Source organism: Homo sapiens, chromosome 4, assembly GCF_000001405.40.
Source record: "Homo sapiens chromosome 4, GRCh38.p14 Primary Assembly".
NCBI lineage: Eukaryota > Metazoa > Chordata > Mammalia > Primates > Hominidae > Homo > Homo sapiens.
The window spans coordinates 20,190,855-20,213,810 of NC_000004.12; the positions used below are offsets into that span (position 1 = coordinate 20,190,855).

Below are 22,956 nucleotides of genomic sequence, written 5' to 3' on the forward strand. Positions count from 1 at the left end.
CAGTGCAGAAGAGAAATGTGGGTTTAGCCCCCACACAGAGTCCCCACTGGCACACACTGTCTAGTGGAGCTGTGAAAAGAGGCCCACCGTCCTCCAAACCCTAAAATGGTAGATCCACTGAGAGCTTGTAAAATGTACCTGGAAAAGCTGAAGACACTTAACACCAGCTAATGAAAGCAATGGGGAAAAGGGCTGTACCTTGCAAAGCCACAGAGGCAGAGCTGCCCAAGGCTTTAGGAGCCCACCTCTTGCATCAGCATGACCTGGAGGTGAGACACGGAGTCAAAGGATATCATTTTGGAGCTTTAAGATTTGACTGCCCTGCTGCATTTCAGATTTGCAGAGGGCCTGAAGCCTCTTTGTTTTGGCCAATTTCTCCGATTTGGAATGAGTATATTTACCCAATGCCTGTACCCCCATTGTATCTAGGAAGTAACTAACTTGCTTTTGATTTTTCAGGCCCAAAGGTGGAAGGGACTTGCCTTGTCTCAGATGAGATTTGGACTGTGGACTTTTGAGTTAACGCTGAAATGAGTTAAAATTTTGGGGAACTGTTGGAAAGACATGATTGGTTTTGAAATGTGAGGACATGAGATTTGGGAGGGAGCAGGGGTGGAATAAAATGGTTTGGCTGTGTTCCCACCCAAATCTCACCTTGAATTATAATAATCTTCACATGTCAAGGACAGGACCAGGTGGAGATAATTAAATTATGGGGGCAGTTTCTCCCATACTGTTCTCGTGGTAGTAAATAAGTCTCATGAGATCTGGTGGTTTTATAAATAGGAGTTTCCCTGCACAAGTTCTCTCTTGCCCACTGCCATGTAAGACTTGACTTTGTTCTTCCTTCATCTTTCGCTATGATCGTGAGGCTCTCCAGTCATGCTGAAGTATGAGTTTGTTAAACCTTTCCTTTATAAATTATGTAGTCTTGGGTATGTATTTATTAGCAGTGTGAGAACAGACTAATACATGTGCCAATGTTTTTAGCTATTCATCTATTATCATATTCATTTCCTTAGTTAACACATATTATTGATTGTTTTAAGGATAGAGCTGGATGAGCTCCATGCCTTTGAATTACAGTAGTGCCCCCTTATCCTTGGGGAATACATTTAAAGACCCTTAGTGGATACCTGAAACCACAGATAGTACCAAACCCTGCATATTGTATAATTTTCCCATACATACATACCAATGATAAAGTTTAATCTATAAATTTGCCACAGTAAAAGATTACCAACAATAACTAATAATAAAATAGAACAATGATAACAATATACTGTAATAATAGTTATATAAATGCGGTCTCTCTCTTTCTCAAAATATCTTATTGTACTGTATTACCCTTCTTCTTGTGATGATGTGAGATAGTAAAATGCCCATGTCCTGAGATGAAGCGGGATGAATGACACGGGCATTGTGATGTAGCATTTAAAACTTATAAATTGTTTGTTTCCGGAATTTTTTATTTAATATTTTCAGGCCATAGTTGACCATGAGTAACCAAAACCATGGAAAGTGAAACCATGGATAAGGAGGGGCCACTGTACTATTTATGTGGGAGAAAGACAAGTATTTGTTATCATTTAGTGAGAAACACACAGTATAAGGAATAGTTTATGAAAGGATAACCAGATCAGGGCAGAAATGCTCCTAAATTTGACTCATGGAGGCTCCTTAGAGAAGTTATATGTGGGTTAAAAACAAACCGAAAAAGGTTTTAAAGTGAAAATGCTAAAGAAAATATGACATTCATATCCTAGATCCGATTATTTTATTAGGTTGAGGGACCCAGATAAAATGATATCCAATATGGAGTCATTCTGGTGAGGAGGTAAGTAGCAAGGTCAACAGAACAAAGACTGCTCAAATAATCCACCTAAGGAGATATCAGTCCTATAATGTGGACTGAGCTCACAACATGGACATCACATATCTTTTTACTCCTCAACAGCCTTGTAATTTAGGTCCTCTTATTATTACCTGCATTTTTAACAGATGAGTAAATTAAGGTTCAATCTGATTGAGTAACTTTCCCAAGTTTCCAACGTCAGAAGGCAGTGGAGCCAGGTGGGATCGTTAATTTTATGTGTCAACTTGACTGGGCCACAGGATGTCCAGCAAACTGGTTAAACATTATCTCTGGGTGTGTCTGTGAGAGTGTTTCCAGAAGAGTTTAGCCTTTGAATAGGTGGACTGAGTAAAGCAGATGGTCCTCCCCAATGTAGTTGGGCATCTTGCAATCCATTGAGAGCCTGAAGAGAGCAAAAAGATGTAAGAAAGGTGGATTTGCTCTCTGCCTGACAGCATGAACTGGGATATCAATCTTCTGTCCTGGGTGCTCGTGCTCCTCATTCTCAGACCTTCAGACTTACTGGAATCTACACCATTGGCTCTCCGGCTCTCAGACCTTAACACTATACCACCTGCTTTCTCTGGAGAACTCTGACTAATACATCAGGATTCAAACTGAGACAATCTAACTTCAACACTGTTTTCCTGACAGTCACTCCACAGTGTGTCAAGCAGCAGCCAGGGTGGAGTTTCCAAAGGGTGAAAGGAGTTCAGGCAATAATGCAGCAGGAAGATTCAGGGAAAGACGAAGAGAGGATGAGTAGAATCTGGCAGTCAAAGGCAATAGGCCTTGTCTTCAGGGGCTGGGGCAACACTAGAAGGGCAATGATTTACCTTCCCAGAACATACCCAGAAGTGATGTGGCTTAGGAGCAGTCTGGCAGCTGAGGATTCCTGATAACTATGGAATTGGGATACCTACTAACTTTCCATCAGCTTCCCTATCCAGACAAAAGTACAAAACTTCTTCACTGGATATTAGAGAAAAGTCTACAAGACAAACTCTTAAAACCTCTTGGATTTCAACAAACTTCGCCCAAGTGATAAGTTTCAGCTGTTTTTCCAAGTTAAAATCCAATTCTCACCCTTTAAATTTTTCCTTGAGGCTATAAAGTACATTTGGAAAACAACATTAATATGGAGGAAATTGCTACTTGTAGGGTTACAGAGCTCTTGTTTGGATCATTTTATTGCCTTGTCAGTAAAACTTTAAAAACTCGGTGATATATTTACTTTAAAATATTCTAAACTTTCCAACATTGATGATTCTGTAAACTTTGTACAGAATATCCTGATTTATATATTGGTTTATTTGCTGTTGAAAAACTTATTTTTAAAAGTGAACAACACCACTTTGAATTTTTAAGCTCTTATTTTAAGTGGTACAAGTATTTTTTGCTTTTTAATGGCAATTTAATGTTAGTTTTTCTGAATTTCTCAAATGCATTATGGAAATCCCCTTCACTGCAGCTATGACTCATTCATTTTTAATTGTACACTGATATTGCTTAACTTCCTCTAAATTTTGGCAGTTTTCTAACATTCAGTGCAGCAATATTTTCTTGAGAAAAAAATATTTACTCCAAAGTGAAAACAGGTTTCTCTGTGTGTGTTCTAATATATTTGTCACTTTCCAGTTCTAGAATATTTTGACATTGAAAGTCCATTTGGCCTTTATAGAAGGTTTTGAAATAGCTATCATGTTTGAGCACTATTCCTCCAAATCTGTGAGCTAGTCTTTGTTTAGAATTTTGCTTTCTGTAAATACTGATATAAGGAAGAAAACAACATCAAGCTAAGTTGGAGATACATATTTGGATTGTGAATGGATTTATGGGGGTTACTAGCATATATACAGAAATACGAAGCTGGGAGCTGAACAAACAAATAAGCCTGAATGAGTGTGTAGATATCAATATGTTCACTTTTAAAATGAAAAGATTCAGATTAAGAGAGGTTAAGAGGCATGTCCAAGATTACACAAGGATAAATAAAACCTGCTTCTTTCAGGATCCAAGACTCATGCTGATGCTACTATTCCACATTGACTCCATACTTTGGCATTTCTGAATGAATTCCATTCATTGAAAAGGATATGAGGAGGAAAAAGTAGAAATAGGAGAGTGATTAAATATTTCTGTGGCTTTGAGACAATAAACCAATCATGCTTTAGTCAGCCATTTTCCTGCCTCCCACCCAGCTTGGAAAATTTGGTAAGACAATAAAGTATTTTTTATTCCAGTAATTCTGCAAATTGTTTAAAGAACCAAAGAACAAATAAAAAATAAATATAAGATATGACCCCTGATCTGAGTGAATATGCAATATAGATAGAAGGAAAATATGCATGTAAACAAAGGAAATAATGATTTTATAAAGCCATATATTAGTAAGAGCAATTAAGCATGTAAATAAGCATGAAAATGCTGGACCAGGTCATAGGGATGAAGATGGGAATAGACTTTAATTGTAATCAGATGTACTACTCATGAAAGATTACTTAAAAGAGAATAACTTTAACCAAATTTCAAAAAGAAAAGAAATAAGTGGGGAAAAGATGACAGGACAAGCTGGAATTCAAGGAGTGATGAGCTTAGCTTGACTTGAGTGAAGGAAAATAGAACTGGGAAAAATTATAGAGTGGAAAGGAGCAGAAACATTTGGAATTGGTAAAAAAAAAATTAAATTCTGGATTTAAAAGTTTAATTTGATCATGAAAGCTACAAAGATGATCAATTAATGATAAGACTTTTAAAGATTGTGTCCTTTAGAGTACCTCCAATGCAAAAAGTCTCAAATCAGGCACATGACCTTCCATTTTTCTATCAGTTCTATCTTAGTTCCACATACCAGGAGACTGAGTCATCTGTAACTGCTCCCTCTTGCTCACCCTACCTCCCCCAATAAAATTTATACCAAATTCTGGCAATTTTACTTTCTAGATATCTGTTAAGTGCATCCAGTCCTCTCCATTGCTTTAACCACAATTCTAATACAAGACTGGCAGATTGACTTTAACCATATGCCCTGAGTCAAAAAACTAAGATATCTTTTGGTCTGGGTAGATGCATTCACTGGATGGTTAGAGGTCTTTCCCACAGGGTCTGAGAAGGCCACCAGGATCATTTCTTCCCTTCTGTCAGACATAATTCCTTGGTTTGGCCTTCCCACCTCTACACCATCAGATAACAGTCCAGCCTTCATTAGTCAGGTCACTCAAGCAGTCTCTCAGGTCCTCGGCAACCAGTGGAAACTTCATGTTCCCTACCAACCTCAATCTTTGGGAAAGGTAGAAAGAACTAATGGTATTTTAAAAACACACCTCACCAAGCTCAACCTCCAACTTAAAAAAGACTGGACAGTACTTTTACTGTTTTCCCTCCTTAGAATTAGAGCCTGTCCTTGAGAAGTTACAGGGTATAGTCCATTTGAACTTTTATATGGACGTACCTTCCTGTTGGGCCCCAACCTCATGCCAGACACCAGCCTTCTAGGCAACTATCTTCCAGTCCTCCAGCAGGCTAGACAGGAAATTCGCCAGGCTGCTAATCTTCTCTTGCCTATTCCAGATTCCCAGCCATATGAAGACACCCTAGCTGGACGATCAGTTCTTGCTAAGAATCTGACCCCTCAAACTCTACAACCTCAATGGACCACACCCTACTTAGTCATCTATAGTACCCCAACTGCCATCCGCCTGCAGGACCCTCCCCATTGGGTTCACTGTTCCAGAATAAAGCTGTGTCCATCGCAGGGCCAGCCTGATCTACTCTTTCTCCTGGAAGTCGCAAGTACCCTCCCCTACTTCCCTTGAACCCACTTGCATTTCTGAAGAACAGTAATAAACCTTATGAGCCTAATACATCCCTTCCTTCTGTTAGGTCTATTCGTTCTTACTCTACTTTTTGCAACAGGGCTTTATGCAGTCACCCCCACTACTTGGACTCTGCCCCAAAAACTTGTCATCCCTACTATCTTCTGCCTAGTCATACTCCTATTCACTATTCTCAACTACTCGTAAATGCCCTGCCCTTGTTTATACTTCTGGTTTACACTTTTCCTTCAAACCATCATAACTGATATCTCCTGGTTTTACCTCAAACCGTCACCCTTAACTCTCTCTTGGAGTGGATAGAAGATCTTCAGTGGCAAGGTACACTCCAATTCTTCTATCCTGATGAAGTCCTTTTTTTACTTTTCTACTCATTCTTATCCTTGCCCCCATTCTCCAGTCTCTCTTTACCTCTCCCTAGTTACCTCCAGCATACTATCAATCTCACCCACTCTCTCCTCACTGCCTTCAGTCCTTCTCTAGCAAAGAACTGTTGGCTATGTGTTTCCCTTTCTTCCTGCTCTTACACAGCTGCCCCCACTCTACAGGCCAACTGGGCTACCTCTCCTTTCTACCTGCACCTCCAAACCTCCTTTAATAGCCCTCATCTTTACCCACCTGAGGAACTTCTTTATTTTCTAGACTGATTTGGTGAGAACTCCCTAGACATTTCACAGGAGCAAGGTACCACACTTCTCTGCATCTACTTACGGCATCTTTCTCCTTATGTCAATTCCACCCCCACCCCCTGCCATATTTGGACCCCTAACCACACAAACAACTATCCCTGTTGCCGGTCCTTTATGTATCTCCCAAAAACAGTCTACGGGGATCCCTTTAGGTAACCTTCCACCATCCAAATGTTCCTTTACTCTGTATCTCTAGAACCCAGCCACATACATTACCAAACAGATGGGAGCATTCCAACTTCACATTACTGATAAGCCCTCTATCATTACTGACAAACTAAAACACATTGGCAGTCACTATTGTTTAGGAAGACACCTACTCTGCATCTCACTCCTTCCTTGGCAACCCATTCCCACCCCCGCCTGTCTGACTCTCCTTCTAGCACCTCCTCTTGCTTGCTTTATACCCAGCCCCATGAATAGCGGTGAAAGATTACTCACAGACACTTTGCACTTTCTCATACACCATGAGAACCAAACCTCTCCCTCTACATATTTGCACCATCAATCCCCATTACAACCTCTAACAGCTGCTGCCCTTGCTGGATCTCTAGGATTTTGGGTGCAGGACTCCTCTTTCCATACACCCTTTCACCTTTTCACTTTCCATTTCCAGTTCTGCCTGACACAAGTTCTCTTCTTTTCATGTGGCTCTTCCACCTACATGTGCCTACCTGCCAACTGGACAGACACATGTACTCGAGTCTTCCTCATCCCCAAAATCCAGTTTGCCGATGGGAATGAACAACTGCCTGTCCCCCTCATGACACCAACATGACAAAAAAAGGGTCATCCCACTAATCCTTTTACTTCTGGGTCTAGTACTTTCTGCCTCCACTATTGCACTTGGAACTGGAATATCAGGCATCTCAACCTCTGTCACAACATTCTGCAGCCTCTCTAATGACTTCTCTGCTAGCATTACAGACATATCACAAACTTTATCTGTCCTCCAAGCCCAGACTGACTCTTTAGCTGCAGTTGTCCTCCAAAACTGATGAGGCCTTGATTTACTCACTGCTGAAAAAGGAGGACTCTGCATATTTCTTAATGAAGAGTGCTGTTTTTACTTAAATCAATCTGGCCTGGTATATGATAACATCAAAAAACTCAAAGACAGAGCTCAAAAACTTGCTAATCAGGCAACTAATTACCTAATTACACGGGACCCACCTGGCCACTCTCTTACTGGGTATTCTGGCTTCTTCCAATGGTTAGTCCTCTAATACCTATCTTCCTCCTTCTCTTATTTGGGCCTTGTGTCTTCCAATTAATCTCTCAATTCCTATGAAACCACATCCAAGCTATCACTAATCACCCTATACGACAAATGCTGCGTTTAACAACCCCACAATATCACCCCTTACCCCAAAATCTTACTTCAGTTTAATTTCTCCCACTTTAGGTTCCCGTGCTGCCCCTAATCCCACTCAAAGCAGCCCTGAGAAACGTAGCCCATCACCCCTCCATACCGCCCCCAAAATTTTCACCCCAAGGTTTCACTACTCTTTCTCATTTTATTTCTTCATTATTAACATAAAAAGACAGGAACGTAAGGTCCTCTGAGCTGGCCGCACCATGGTCAAGCCATAGTGACAACCCCCCACAATCCCCCTGGTCCCGGTCGTTGTGATAATGTTCTTTGTGATACTCCCCCATCCTTGTGAATGTACTTTGTAAATTCCTCCTCGCCCTTGTGACAATACACCCTCCCCATCCTTGTGAATGTACTTTGTAGGATGCACCCTCCCCACCCTTGTGAATGTACTTTGTAGGATACATCCTCCCCACCCTTGTGAATGTACTTTGTAACATCCTCCCTGCCCTTGAGAATGTACTTTTTAACATCCACCCCCTGCCCCCCAAAATTGCTCCTAACTCCACCACCTATCCCAAATCCATAAGAAGTAATGATAATCCCACCACCCTTTGCTGACTCTTTTTGTTGGACTCAGCCCATCCACACCGACGTGTAATACACAGCCACTGTTGCTCACACAAAGCCTGCTTGGTGGTCTCTTTACTTGGACGCACGTAACAGCTCCCATTTTCTTTCTCCTGAATTAAGTTATTTAAATAGCCTAATGTGTCTCCTCTTAGCCAACCATGCCACTCTGCAATCCAATATCTCATTGCATTCAATATGATAATGTGGCCATGCTGCTAAAAACTTCCATACATTGTCCTGTAAAGCCCTTCATCAGAGGTTCCCATCTATCTCTCCAGCCTTACTTTGCTCTCTTTGCACCAGACATAATGACATTCCATCTTTACCTGTGCTCTTGCTGATTCTTCTCAACACGTGGCCTCTAATTTTTAGTGCTCTTTCCTTTTTGATCCTGTTAATGTAAACTAATTCTTAACCAGCACATCCCATCGCATCCTCCTCTGACTTACTTGACTAGGTCAAATATGAATGTTAAGTTCTTATAGTACCATTTACCTCTCTCTTGAAGCTCTTAACACTACTGCTATTTTACATTTATTTTTGTGATTATTTGATTAAGGTCTATCACCATCACTAGGATGCAATTCTGTGAAGTCTGAGAATGGCTTTTTTTCCCTCACCTTTATATTCCAAGTGCCACTAACAGTGCCTGGTGCATATTAGGCACTCAATTATAATGTGAATAGGTGGATGATAACTAATATATCTTTTGAGTCTTACTTTATGCCAAGTACTATTCTCCACCTTTTATTGTATTATCCCCTTTAATTTCCAAAACAACTCTATGAAGATGGTCTAATTATTTTTCCATTCTATAGAAGAATAAAGAGGTTAAATAAATTGTTCAAGCTCTTATGGCAAATAAGTGATAAAACCAGAATACAGAACTAGTCTGACTTCTGAGCATGTTTTCTTGATGCTACAGCTGCCTCTGCGCATTTGTCAAATGGATGAGTGACAGACAGCAGAATAGTCAAATGAGCAAATGTCAGCAGCAGTTCTTTTCTGGAAATAGTTATTATTTGGAAAGATGATGGAGGGAGAAAAGATATCTATGACTGCAGTAGCAATCAGGTGTTTTGAAAGTTGTTGAGATTGATAATGGAAAAGATTGAAAAAGCGTATCTTTTTTTGTTTGTTTGAGCTGGACTACAGTAGTGCAATCATGGCTCACTGAAGCCTCCTGGGCTCAAAGTATCCTCCCACCCCAGCCTCTGGAGCAGCTAGGATTACAAGTGGGTACCAAAACGCTTGACTAATTTTTAAAATTTTATGTAGGGAATGAGGTCTTGCTATATTGCCAACAGTGCCCTTGAACTCCTGGACTCAAGTGTTCCTCTTGTCTTGGCCTCTCAAAGTGCTGGGATAACAGGCTTGAACTACTACACCTGGCTGAAAAAGCACATCTTCAAGGCAGTGAAGAAACAAAACTCAGACCTGAAAGAGAAGTTGACAGCAATTCTAAGAGCATGACCAATGGAACTTGGAAAAGTCGTGCTGAGAGCCTTTTATAAATGCTGTGGGGCCCCTCAATTTCAAAGGTTTGGTCCATTATGTTCTCTAAATGAGTTTCACAGAACTTTCCCATATCCCCTTCCACAACTAGACACACCTATTGTAAGTTTTAAATCCCTCTGGAACATACCATTTTTATATCTTATTTTTGGGCTAGTACACAGTATAGTTGGCTCTCTTGAATAGAATTCATTTGTGTTATTTTATGACAATTTAGCTATTATTTATCGATCATTAATATTTCAACAATTACATTTTATTTCTGACTTCTCCTCAAAATAAAAATCAGGACTACCACTTATGAGGGATATGGATTTAGAAGCCAATTGCTGTAAGGTGAAAGTCCCCCACCCCTGCTAAATTATTAACAATTTTACAATGTTTTTGACATAGCTATATATTTTTTCTCTGGAAGTTTATTTAGTCAACACATTTTCAAAACATTATTTGCCTTTTTAGAGATTTCACTAAGACAAACAGCCAGTATGTTTAATTATAATAATAATACAAATTATACAGAATATTTAAAAATAGAGCCATGTTTCTCTAGAAACAGCCATGGCAAAATAATAATACAAATTATACAGAATATTAAAAAATAGAGCCATGTTTCTCTAGAAACAGCCATGGCAAAGTGAAACTGTTCAGAAGTACCACTTACAAGATTCTATAAAGCCTATTCTTAAAGTTTTATTTATAAATACACATTTGCTTTCTAAGAAACAAGGGCAACCCAACTACAAAAGCACATACATAGCGACATGCCTGAAATGCTTTAACATGAGCAGTGGGTACAGTGTCGGAAAGCCATTCCCCTGTATCATGCAGAATGAAACAGAATGGGGTTGTTTCACTTTTTCTTAACACAGATATGACAATACAAACTTCTATGACTTGGATGCTTTCTCAAACGAACTTTGAAAGCATTATCACCTGGGTTGTCCCTATTCTATTTCACAGAAATTTTTGAGAGGAAAAAACTGGTCTTGAGAAATATCTACTTGTAACAGATGTGTTTGTTTTGTGTTGTCATGTTGTCATTTGCTAGGTAGTAATGGAAAGAAAGACTTTGCACTATTGCAGGTATAAATTAGCAGTGAAGGGTGTAAACTCTACAGCCATATTGCCTTTTTAAGCTACGTAACTTTGAAAAGTTACTTGATCTTTGTGTCTCTTTTTCACTAGGTAGAATAGGGTAAGAGTAATAACAACCACCTGGAGTCCTTGCACAAGTTTGATGCATTGTAAAGTACTTAGAAGAGTTCCTGACATGTAGCAAAAACATAATCAATGTTAGTTCTTGTAATTACTAAATATTAATTTCATCATTATCAATCACTTGTTCAAAGTCTCTCACAGCTTCCTGTAATCTTCAAAGCAAACCAAACCTTCCTTTTTGTCTTTCAAAGAAATCCATAATCAGTAGTCATGCTTCCCATCTAATCCCCTACCATCTACAAATGTAAGCCACCAGCACTAATAAGGTTGTCTCCTTACTGACGTATAAATATATTCTACTACACTATACCTAGAAATATGCTACTTTCAGTGTACCTCTTTTTAAACATTCTTTCATGTATTAATTAATTAATATACCCATACTGATGTACACAAGGATTATGCCTGTTTCGTTTTTACTATTTTAATAATGATACAGTATACATACTCAATGATGGATTATACTTAAATCCAAATTTGGTTATTTTATAATTTGCCAAAATGATTTTGAAGCTTATCTGGAAGTTTAAACTCTAGAGAACTGTGGAGAATAATTTGATTGAAATAACGGTAAATTTGGGAGGCTGAGGCAGGTGGATCACCTGAGGTCAGGAGTTCGAGACCAGCCTGGCCAACATGGTGAAACCCTGTCTCTACTAAAAATACAAAAATTAGCTGGGCATGGTGGCAGGTGCCTGTAATCCCAGCTACTTGGGAGGCTGAGGCAGGAGAATCACTGGAATTTGGGAGGCAGTGGTTGCAGTGAGCCAAGATAGCACCATTGCACTCCAGCCTGGATGACAAGAGAAAAACTCTGTCAAAAAAAAAAAAAAAAGAAAGAAAGAAGGGGAAGTTTATCTCCCAGATATAAAATACCCTCTAAAGTTACAATAATCCAAAACATATCTTTCTTCACAAGAAGTAAAACTGCATCAATAAAACAGAACAGAAATAGAGATTCTAATCAAAGTCCACACCAAGGCAAACAGCAAAGCAGGAAACACATTGAATGCAAAAGTGACAAAAAAAAGGTAAGTATTTTTAAAGTGATTCTAAAAGGCCAATAAGAAAAATCAAATAGCAAATGGAAATTTAATTATACAACAATGTAATAGATCAAAGTGTCACTTTTTTTAAGCAGAGGCATTTTTGTTTATTGGTGGTAGAAATTAAATTGGCAAAAGAAAAGCTTCTCTGAAAACAAATTTAGCATTATGTATCAAAAGTTTCAAAGGATTGATAATTTTTGACACAGTAATCCAATGTATAGGGACCTAACCTAAGTAAAATTTTAGAAGATATAAATTAAATGTACCATATCATTATTAAATAGAAAAAAAGAAGCAGGCACAACCCTGTGTCCATCAATAGGGTGATATTAATTAATTAGAATAGAAATTTCATGTTCAGAAAATAGCAATGTGAGAAGATGCTCACAAAATAATGTTACATACACAAAGCCACACTATTTTTTAAATAGGACACTTTAAATGCCAACTTCAAAACCTATGTTGCTTTGCCAAGAAACCAAGCAAAAGGACCAAAGGCAGAAAGGGTGCAGGACATTTTAATCATCAGCAAAATGAGAAAAACAGCATCAGATACAAATGTCAAGGAATTCTGACTAGTATATTCAGATAGAGACAGAATGAAAGACAGACTTACACTACTCTATCCAAGAAAATGATGCAGCAAGGCAGGAAGTATTAAAAAAAAATTCTGGCATCACATCATAGCCACCCATATTTCAGAGAAGCAAGATTTACAATCAAGAGTTTTCTGCATGAGTAATGAGGCCCTCTACTTGGGGTCCTATTTTTTGCAGTGGATTAAACATAATCAGATGCAGCATCTGTGGCCTTCTGGCCTTCTTGAGAAATTTGAGGGAAGAATGCCTGAAGGCTGCACTTCTTGTCTCTTGACTCATCTCTAACAAAAGGCTAGCCTGAATGTAGTATGTGACTATGGACAACCTATTTATCCTCTCTGTCTCAAATTGTTCATCTGTAAAATGTGAATAATAATAGCGGTGACCTCAAGGAGTAGTGACGATAAAATAGAAAATGTTAAGCAAACTCAAACCCATAGGAATGGCTCACTAGGTCTTGAAAATCACTATATTTGTAATTAAAAATCTTGATGTGAATTCTGAAAGCATAGTGCTGCATTAGAGAGATGGTACCTTAGGTCTGCTGCTACAGGAAGAAGATTCTGATATGGCAATTAGCCTGCACTAGGGAGTACCCTGTGGGGAAGTGAGGTCAGTAGGACTGGATGGAAGAAGGAGTTGAAATTCAATGCAGCCGCAACAAAAATATTAACCTATGCCATGCGAAGTTTTAAAGCTTGGATGATCCTTCAGAAATCATGGACCAGTTTTGGGTAGGGACAGTCCTTGGGAGGGGACTAACTTGGGGGACAGAGTACCCTTAAACTAGGGCAATTACAAGGGTGTGCCTCAATTGTGAGTTTGCAACAACAATGCACCTGCCAGCTGGAAATAAGTGCCTTGGTCCTAAGAGGAATCTGGACTTCAGCATCCACAGTGGAAAGTGCTTGAAATCACTTCAGCCACTACAGACCAAGAGTCGAAGGGAGATACTCATGGTCATGTCAAAGGGATAGACAAGCAAGAGGGACTTTTTCCTAGCCTGAGGTTTCATGTCCAACACAAGATAGTCTTTTAATTAAATTGTAGACTCCCTCAAAAAGTCTTACTCAAACCAAGAAGCAAAAGTTCCAGAAGGGAGTACAGGCCCAATTTCATGCTTACCTGTAATAGAGACATGTAAAACTGAAAATCTGATGCCTAAAATTAGGTCACAGTGTCAAAATGTCAACAACTTTTTAGGAAGAAAACACACACACGTGCATGTGCGCATGCACCCACATGCCTGTCAACTTAAGAATGATGAAGTTCACAAATTTGGAAAGGAGGACTTTATTTCTCCTAAAGGGTTGCAGACTGCAGTGTGGTCCTTCTGACAGCTGGCTAGCATAGCCTTCTGTCAGAAGCCGGAAACAGATACTTCAAGGCAAGGGCAAAGGGAATGGGAATTTATGCTGAGCAGGGGACCAAATACACATATTTAATACGCTATAGGAGGAGCCATACTTATTTACGAAAGGAGAAAATTGTGTATGTTCAGTTAAGCTTCATGCCCCATCTGAGTCACATGTACAAACAAATGGCAGCGTCAACATGATCCCAGGGTGAACTTTTTGGCCCCCGATAGCAAAAGGTGAAGCAGAGGACATGAAAATCCTCACTATACATCCTCCATAGACAGTTAAGGACAACCCCATGGTCTGTGGTCTCCTATCAGGAAGGAAATTTGGTTGGTTGTTTTGTCAAATCTGCAAAAAAGAGGGGGCAGTGTCAGGCAACTGGTTGATACCTAGGGTGGAGCAAGTCTCTCCAAAGTGCTGGTTTCTGTTTAACCCTTAGGAAAGAAAGCCTAATAGTGGTTAGCAAGGGAGTATAAGGAGGCATGTCCCACCTCCCAACCCATCATGGCCAGGAATTCAGCTTCTAAGGCTTCTCTGAGGTCCCCTCAGCCACGAGGGGGTCTGTTCAGTCAGCTTAGCTTTTTTTTTTTTCACATACATACAAACACACACAGAGGCAAATTTCCCCTCTGAAACTAAACCCCTGGCCTCCAGTTTCTGTTTTTAGAAGATCTAACAATACCTGTGTAAACAAAACAAAGGGATGTAACAGTTAAAACAGAGAAAAGAGGGCTTCTTCTTTGCTTGTTGTCCAGAAGTTGATGTCTCTAGGACACCAGAGAAGACTCCTACATCAGTAAAATATTGAGATTTTGAAGACAGGTTTATCTCTCCTTAAACGAGGAAAATTCCCTTTGCCCGACGTAGAGATACTATAAGGTACACAGGAGAAGTGAGAATATGGCCACTGGGAGATTGTGGGCCAGGGGTCAGGAGGGGATGAGTCTCCCACCCTGCAGTCATAGAAGAAATTGATGGAGGGTTTCAAACTCAGAAGAAAGGAGACTTTTCATCTCCCCTGGGAGCAGTGGCTCACACCTGTAATCCCAGCACTTTGGGAGGCCAAGGTGGGGCCTATACAGGGTCAGGATCACCAGCATCACTGTCTTTTATGCACACACATTAGCCTGGGCCTACAGAGGGTCAGGATCACCAGTATCACTGCCTTCCATCTCCATGTCTTGACCCACTGTAAGGTTTTCCAGGGCAGTAACACACATGGAGGGGCCATCTCCTGTGATAACGATGCTTTTTTTTTTTTTTCTGTAATACTTCTCAAAGGACCTGCTTGAGGCTTTCTTCCCGTTAGCTTTTCTTTTTGTAAGTAGAGGGAGTAGATTCTAAAATAACAATAAAAAGTGTTTATAGTAAATACATAAGCCAGTAACAGTTATTTATTACCATTATCAAGTATTCTGTCCCATATGTAATTGAACACCCCATAGTAGTGTACAACTGGCCGCACAGTAGGTTAGTTTATATAAGCATCACTACAAACATGTGAGTAAATGCATTACCCTACAATATTACAATATCTACAATGTCACTAGGTGATAGGAATTTTTTAGTTCCACTATAATCTTGCAGAACCACTTCTACAGATGCAGACTGACATTGATAGAAACATCATTGTGTAGCACTATCTGTAATCTTACATATATATACACGCATATATTGTTTGTTTCTCTGGAGAACCTTAACACAGCTCTCATGGGCCAACAGCCAAGTCACATTACAATAGAGGCCTGCATGGACAGGTAAGAGATGCTAGGAAGCCCTCCCTTTCTCCCTCCAGCAAAAGGTTGGGATGGGGCATGATTTTATCATGCAATGTATTTAAGATTCCCCACCCCCATCTCATCCTGAGTCTAGTGGCAACAGGGTAGAAAGAGGAGACAAACCCTCCAAATTGGATAAAATTTAGTTCCTACCAAGATGACAGAATTATACATTCAATTGACTTGCAGAAAAACAGAAAATTCAGTTTCTGGAATACTAGGATTTACTTAATACTTATGTATATTAAGCAAAATTATCAGAAAGTTGAAGAGTAATTAATAATAATAGTACTAAGAGATTTAATTTGATAGGCAAGTGGTAAGAAGGGGATAAAAAGTATTTAAATAATATAATTAATAAGATTAATTCAAAATATAGAACTTAAAATAAACAACCTTCAATAAAGAGAAGATTTTTTAAGTATCCATAAGATAAAGAAAACATATAAGCCACAAAAAAGTTACATTCATGCTTCAAATTAGGAATTGAATTATTTACACTGTCTTACCTTGAGGCAATATAAGAATCACAAAATTGTAGACAACACAACAATGTTGAAAACTGTAAAACAAAACATAATAAAAGAAGTAATCAAAATTACATTTACTAAAATCTTTAGAAAATAAAGTTAATGGTACAAAATGGGAAAGGATTGACAGTGAACACAAACTCAGGAAAATACATTAAGCTAAATTCTTACACTCTATTCCTAAAAATTAAATTCAGTTAACTAAGTATTCAACTGAAAATTGGGGGAAAAAAGTGACTGGGAAAAGAAAACAGCATGAAAAAATTAATAACATAAATTCAAAATCTCCTTCGTTGAAAATAAGAGTTCACAGCAAGAGAGAAGCATAAAAAGAAAAATAAGAGCACAAAAATAAAAACTTGAGAATGAAAACACAAGGTTAACTACAGATTTTTAGTAAAATAAAATAATAAAACATTTAAGCTAAATCTATATTTGAAATATTCTCATATATCTGAAATGTACGACATCTTGGAAAATGCTACTAAAATTGACTCAAGAAAGGGTAGAAAACCTGCATAAATTAATTACTTATGATTAGAAATTATATTCAGTTGCATGTATCAGAAACCTGACTGCCATGACTTAACCTAATAGGGGTTTATATTTCTCACACTGTAAGGAGTCGTGAGATGGGCAATGAAACTCAGGTATGTGTTTCTTTCCTCTTTAGGGAGATGGCTTTTATCCACATGCTCATAGTAGAGCTGCTGCAACATGAGTACCCTGCCTATATACTAGGCAGAAAAGGCAGAGGGCCCAGGACTACAAATAACTGCCAAATGAGTTTAATTTTTTATTAAGGAAATAATAGTTTTCTACGAAGCTCCACCCATCCACTTCCATATCACCAATCAAAGCTATTTTACATGGCTACCCTGGCTAAAAGGGAAGTGCAATTTTTTTTTTTTTTTAACTCTGAGGACATTGTTTTAACTCTGAGGACATCATAATCAACTCAGAATTCTCTACGTAGTGAAGGGATGGCTATAAGGGAAGGAAAAGATACTGGTTGGCTACCAAAAGATCTATTATACCATCAAGAAAATTAAGCAAGTTGTAAACAAATAAAACAAATATTTTAACTGTATATCCTGGGACAGCTAGTTTCTTCACAACTTAAAATTTCTATTTGTTTAATATGTAAACAGTTTCAGAACCCAAATAAGGAAAGGAAGTTTACCAATTCTTTTTACAAAGCTATTGAAGCAATGAAACCTAATCTGAAAAACTGTAGAACAAAAAAGAAAATGATTTTAAAAGTTTATTTGGTAAGATAGATGAAAAATCTCTAAACAAAAACCTAGCAAATTGCATATAAAATAATATATAAAAGAATACTATGCCATGAATAACATGCTTTATGCCAGGATTACAATGATGATTAATATCAGAAAATGGATGGATGAATAGATAGATGCATGATAGATGATTAATTGATAGAGAGAGAGAGAGAGACAGAGACATCACCATATTAACAAGTCAAAGGAGAAAAGATTTGGTCATTTTAATAGATGATAGCATTCAATATCATTTCTTCTATGGTCTGAATTTTGGTATCCCTCCCCTAAAATTCATTAGTTGGGACCTAATACCCAGTGTGACAGTATGAACAGACAGAGTTTTTTCAAAAGTATTAAGCCATGAGAGTTCCACCTTCATGAATGAGATTACGGCCCTTATAAAAATGTTGAAGGGTTCAATCTTTCCTTTTCACCATGGGAGCATGCAACAAGAGACTCTGTCTATAAAGCAGAGATGGCCCCCACCATATACCTACTTTGCCTGCACATTTATCTTGGACTTCCCAATCTCCAGAATTGTGAGCAATAAATTTCAATTGTTTATAAACTCCCTAGTCTAAGGTATTTTGCTATAGCAGCCCAAACAAACTAATATGATTTCCTAGTAGGGGAAAAATAATTCTTAAACATAATAGGCTAGCTTAAACCTAGAGGCAATAACACACTTGATGAAATATTGTAATTGTTACCATGAGTGGGAAGAAAAAATATCAGGATGCCTTTTCTCCCCAACGTAACATTTCTACCAAAGAAGTAGCTGGTTCAATCACTACTTTGTTAGCCTTTTTTTTAAGTTAAGTATTAGAATAGATAGGACATAAATTCAATAATTTGCTGATGATATAATTATTAGAAAACCAACAGCAAACATATTAGAAATAGTAAGAATGTTCAAAGTGATGATAAATTGGGAGTTCAAAAATAAGAAAAACAGATTTCTTAAAGACTAATATTAGAAAATATGGTGAAAAATTATCTATTTATAATAGCAGACAAAATTTTAAAAAGTGTAGATAAATCTAATGAGAATATGAGATATCATTGGAAAAAATGTCTACAAATCTCACTGAAAACATATGAAAAACAGTTTAAATAAATAAAAAAGAATAGTGTATTATTTCCTAGCAAAGATCAATATAATACAAATATCAATAGCTCCCCTATTCAAATAGTCATCCCAAATAAAAGTTTCAAGAATATATCTTTAATTTGCAAAACCATTTCAAGAAGTCATTTGTAAAGATAACATGAAAATAAGAAGAAAAATTTTGACAAAAACTGGATTATTTAAGGGACCTTTTCCTTCCAGTTATTCGAAACACCTTATATAGCTAAATATCAAAAATGTTTAGAACTGCTGTAAATAGTTTGGTGCCAGGGGAAAAACATACATTAGAATGGAATGTATTGTTTTCTAGAAAAAAGAAAGAAGAGAATAGAATCTGTTTTACCCTTTATGCAAAATGCATTCTATAGAAAGCTTTGTTTAAAAAAAAAGAAAAGAAAAAAGGAAACAAGAAAAGGGGAGAGGGAGACAGGCAGGCAGGGAGGGAGGCAGGGCAAAAACATAGGAAGAAAATATAGATCAATAGTAATAAAGTCCTGGAGACTGAGAAAGATCTGAACATAGTACAAATGACAAAAGTCACTTTAAACGTTTAGATAAATGTTGTAATATAAAATGTCAATGTATAAAATATTTAAAACCTCTATATGAAAGACATAAACAAAGAAAGAAATGATGAACAAACTGGGCAAGGGCCACCTTCAATACATTATTTATAGAAAAAACTTTCAAATCAATAAAAAGTCAACCACCCCAATAGAATAAAAAATGACTATGTATTTTACAATACATAATAAGTATATCTAGATGGACAGATAGATAATTTCCAGCTTTTCTCATATTACAAATGATGTGGTTGGAAAATTTCTTGTTCAAGTCTCCCAGTGACAGATGTAAGAAATTCTGAAGGATGTATACCCAGGAATGCAACTGCAGATTTGAAAGGTTTGAATATCCTCAACCTTACTATATCATGCTAATTGTTTTCTAAAGTGTTTGTACTAATGTACACTCCCACCTGCTGGGACTATGAACACATTTACTTCCCTCTAAAGTAAAGTCTGGTATTTTCAGACTTTTTAAAATAGGCCCATCTGTTAGAACTAAAAAGTATCATTGAGAACTTCATTTACTTTTCATACATCTAATGATGTCAAGAATCTTTCATATGTTTATTGATGATTCCTACTTTCTGTAAAATGCCTATTTATGCCTTTGTCTTAGGAGTGAGTTTTTTATTTCAAAATATGTAGGCGTTTAATATTTGTGATTCCTAAATCAATTACATTATGGACAGAGAATGTGGTCCAAATGATACCAGTTATCTGAAAATGTTTAAGACTTGCTCTATGGCCTACGCTTTATGACATGGGTCAGATTTATAAATGTTCATGTGAGTTGGGAAAGAATAAGTGTGTTGAGTCAAAGTTCTCTATTTTATCCTATATATGTGCTTTAGATCAAGCCTATCTATCACTTTTTTTTGAGATTATTTACTTGATCTATCCCATGCTAAAAGCAGTATGCTCAAATATCCAAATACGTCGATATATTATCTGTTTCTTCTTGTAGATGTAGAAATCTTGCTGCAGTAAATTTTTAAGCTATGATACTCAATCTATGTATGTTTAGAATTATTGTATGTTTATGGCCCTTGATCCTTTATCATTAGCTAAGGCACACCAGTTTTATCTAATTTAACATAAGTCTAATATATTAGTTTGTATCATTTCTCTTATGGCTATTCTTACTCGTATGGTTAAAGATGTATATGCGGTAAACAGCAGATTGTATAAGATATATCAAAGAAGATCAATAAAGCTAATCATTCTGTTGACAGTTTAATAAAGTTTAATAAAATTATTCCACCTTTGGCAAGAGTAATCTTTTTTCTTTCTTTTTCTGATCACTGATATATATGAATGTATTTTTACCATCTTATTTTCTGCTTTGTCCCAGGTTTGCTGTGCTCCTTTTGCTCCTCTCTTGTCTTCTTTTACATTTTTTTATTTTTCCCCCCATTTTTTCTCCTTTTGTAGTTTGGAATTATATACTGCATTCTGTTCTTTAAGTGGTTACTCATTTTTTAATTGCATGCTTCACTTAAGACTAAAGTAAATCAATGTATATACCCACCTTCTAAACAACTTGGGGAAATTAGAGGACATCTAAACTCCAATCTCTCTCTCTCTCTCTCTCTCTCTCTCACACACACACACACACGCGCAAATGTGCACATGCACAGTCAAAAATTTCCCATCTTGTGTTGTTCTAATGCCTTCACCATAGATATCATTGTAACATGTTTACCATTTCCTTTGTTTACCAACTTTTTAAAAATCATGCCTTCCTTTTAGAATCATTCTCCTTCTATCTAAAATGCATCCATTTCTTTTGAAATTCAGTTTTGTCTGAAATCTCTGTTCTTCTGTCATTTTTCTTAAATTTTTTTTTTGGCTATATAGCTTTTGGTAAGTAGTTGCTTTTCCTCAACATTTTAACAATATTAGTTCTTCCCGCTCTTCTGTCAGAATTCTATATCTGTCTTTGGTGTTTAATAGTTTCGCCGTGATAAATTGGGTTATAGATTTCCTTTTGTTTATCCGTCTAAGAAAGTACTGACTGTTATTTGTCAACCAAACATTTTAAAATTAAAAATCAATTAAATATTTTAAAATTTTTTTGAAAGATAGAATAAATACATAAAAGTACACACTTCACTGCTAGACTCCCTAGCTTTTAATCTTGATTCAGCAACTTACCAACTGTAGGATTCTAGGAAAGTTATTTAGTTGATTCTTCAGTTTCCCTATCTATCAAACAATATAACAATAATAATAATAATAATAATAATAATAATACTCACCTAATAGTAACCCTACCTGGGCCATAGTAAATGTATGTATAACATTTGATTTATGGTAAAATTAATAACTACAGTTTTCTTAGTATTCTGCTTATTTTCACCTTCTGAAAATCTGATCAGTCTTCTTGTTTTGAAATCTCTTTATGCTCTTTTTCATGTAGTCATTCTCTTTGCCTCCTTGTTCTTCCTTGATAAATTTTTTCATGTTTGTCTTTACTTCTGCTCTATCAAAAGACTTTTTAACAAATTCACTGGATTCTCTATGGTAAAAGAAAAACTTCAGACGAATTAAATTTAAAGGAGTTTAATTGAGCTACAAACCATTCGTGAATCAGAATCACAGCACATTCAGAGACTCCACAGATGCCTTCTGGTCAGAACAAAGTTACAGACAAAAAAAAAAAAAAAAAGTAAAGTGACGATAGAAATCAGCAGTAAGGCACAGAAATAGCTGGATTGGTTACAGCTCAGCTCAGCGTTTGTCTTACTTGGACACAGTTTGAACATCAGCAGTGTATGAATGGTTGAAGTACTCGCTGAGATTGGCCAAGAATCAGCGATTGTTACAGGCGCATACTCCTAAGTTAGGTGTTCGAACTTGTCTATTAAGTTAGGTTGCAGTTCATCCACAAGGACTCAAACATAGAAGTATGGAGTCCTTCTCGGTCATATTTAGTTTGCTTTCTCATGTATAAAATAATTCTGTCATCTTGGGTTCTCATGAATCCGATTGTGCATTTTATTGTTTCTGCTGACCCTCATTCAGGGTGCCTTGTTTCCTCATGTGTTTTGTGTTGTATGCTGAAACTTTATATGTAATAGTTTTTTGTGTACAAGTTGGAAAGTGAATTATTTCATCAAGGAAAGCAACAGCACTTTAAATTCAATAAATTTACCCCCCCTAAGTTGTTGAGAGTCTTGTAGGAGAGTCTCAAAAAAGACTCCTACCACCTCCTTACCCAAAGTCAAGTTAGACAAGTTTCTTCATCCTTGCAGAGTATGTCTGCCACCCACTCTCTAAATGTTGCCCCCAAATACCTCTGTTGCTGAGGTTTTAGAACTCTTAGACTCTTAGCTTTCTACTCTCCTCTAGGATGTGATTCCCTGTCTTGTAAGGGCTCCAGGCTTTATCTCCCATCTCTTCAGTGGTCATTTTTATTAAAGCTCCAGGTTAGTGTGTGTGCCTGCAGGTATCTTTAATATTTCAACATTCACCGCTCTGGATTAATGCACAGATTTTAGGTTTGTTTTTGGTTCCTTGTTACCTCTTATCCTTCCCAAAAGTTTTTCTTACCTTCTGACAGATCACCTATGCATCTTTAAATGCTTCCTTTTAAATTCCAGT

At 37.3% G+C, this 22,956-nt stretch overlaps 1 long non-coding RNA gene across 1 annotated transcript; it reads right to left on the reverse strand.

Moving 5' to 3' along the window:
• Nucleotides 1-15,144: 15,144 nt before the first annotated feature.
• On the reverse strand, nt 15,145-22,104 carry LOC105374514 (uncharacterized). Its single transcript, XR_925450.2, has 3 exons — nt 21,933-22,104; nt 16,355-16,407; nt 15,145-15,407 (listed from the first exon to the last, which is right to left on the reverse strand). It is a non-coding gene; the product is annotated as an uncharacterized LOC105374514 (long non-coding RNA).
• Nucleotides 22,105-22,956: the final 852 nt, after the last annotated feature.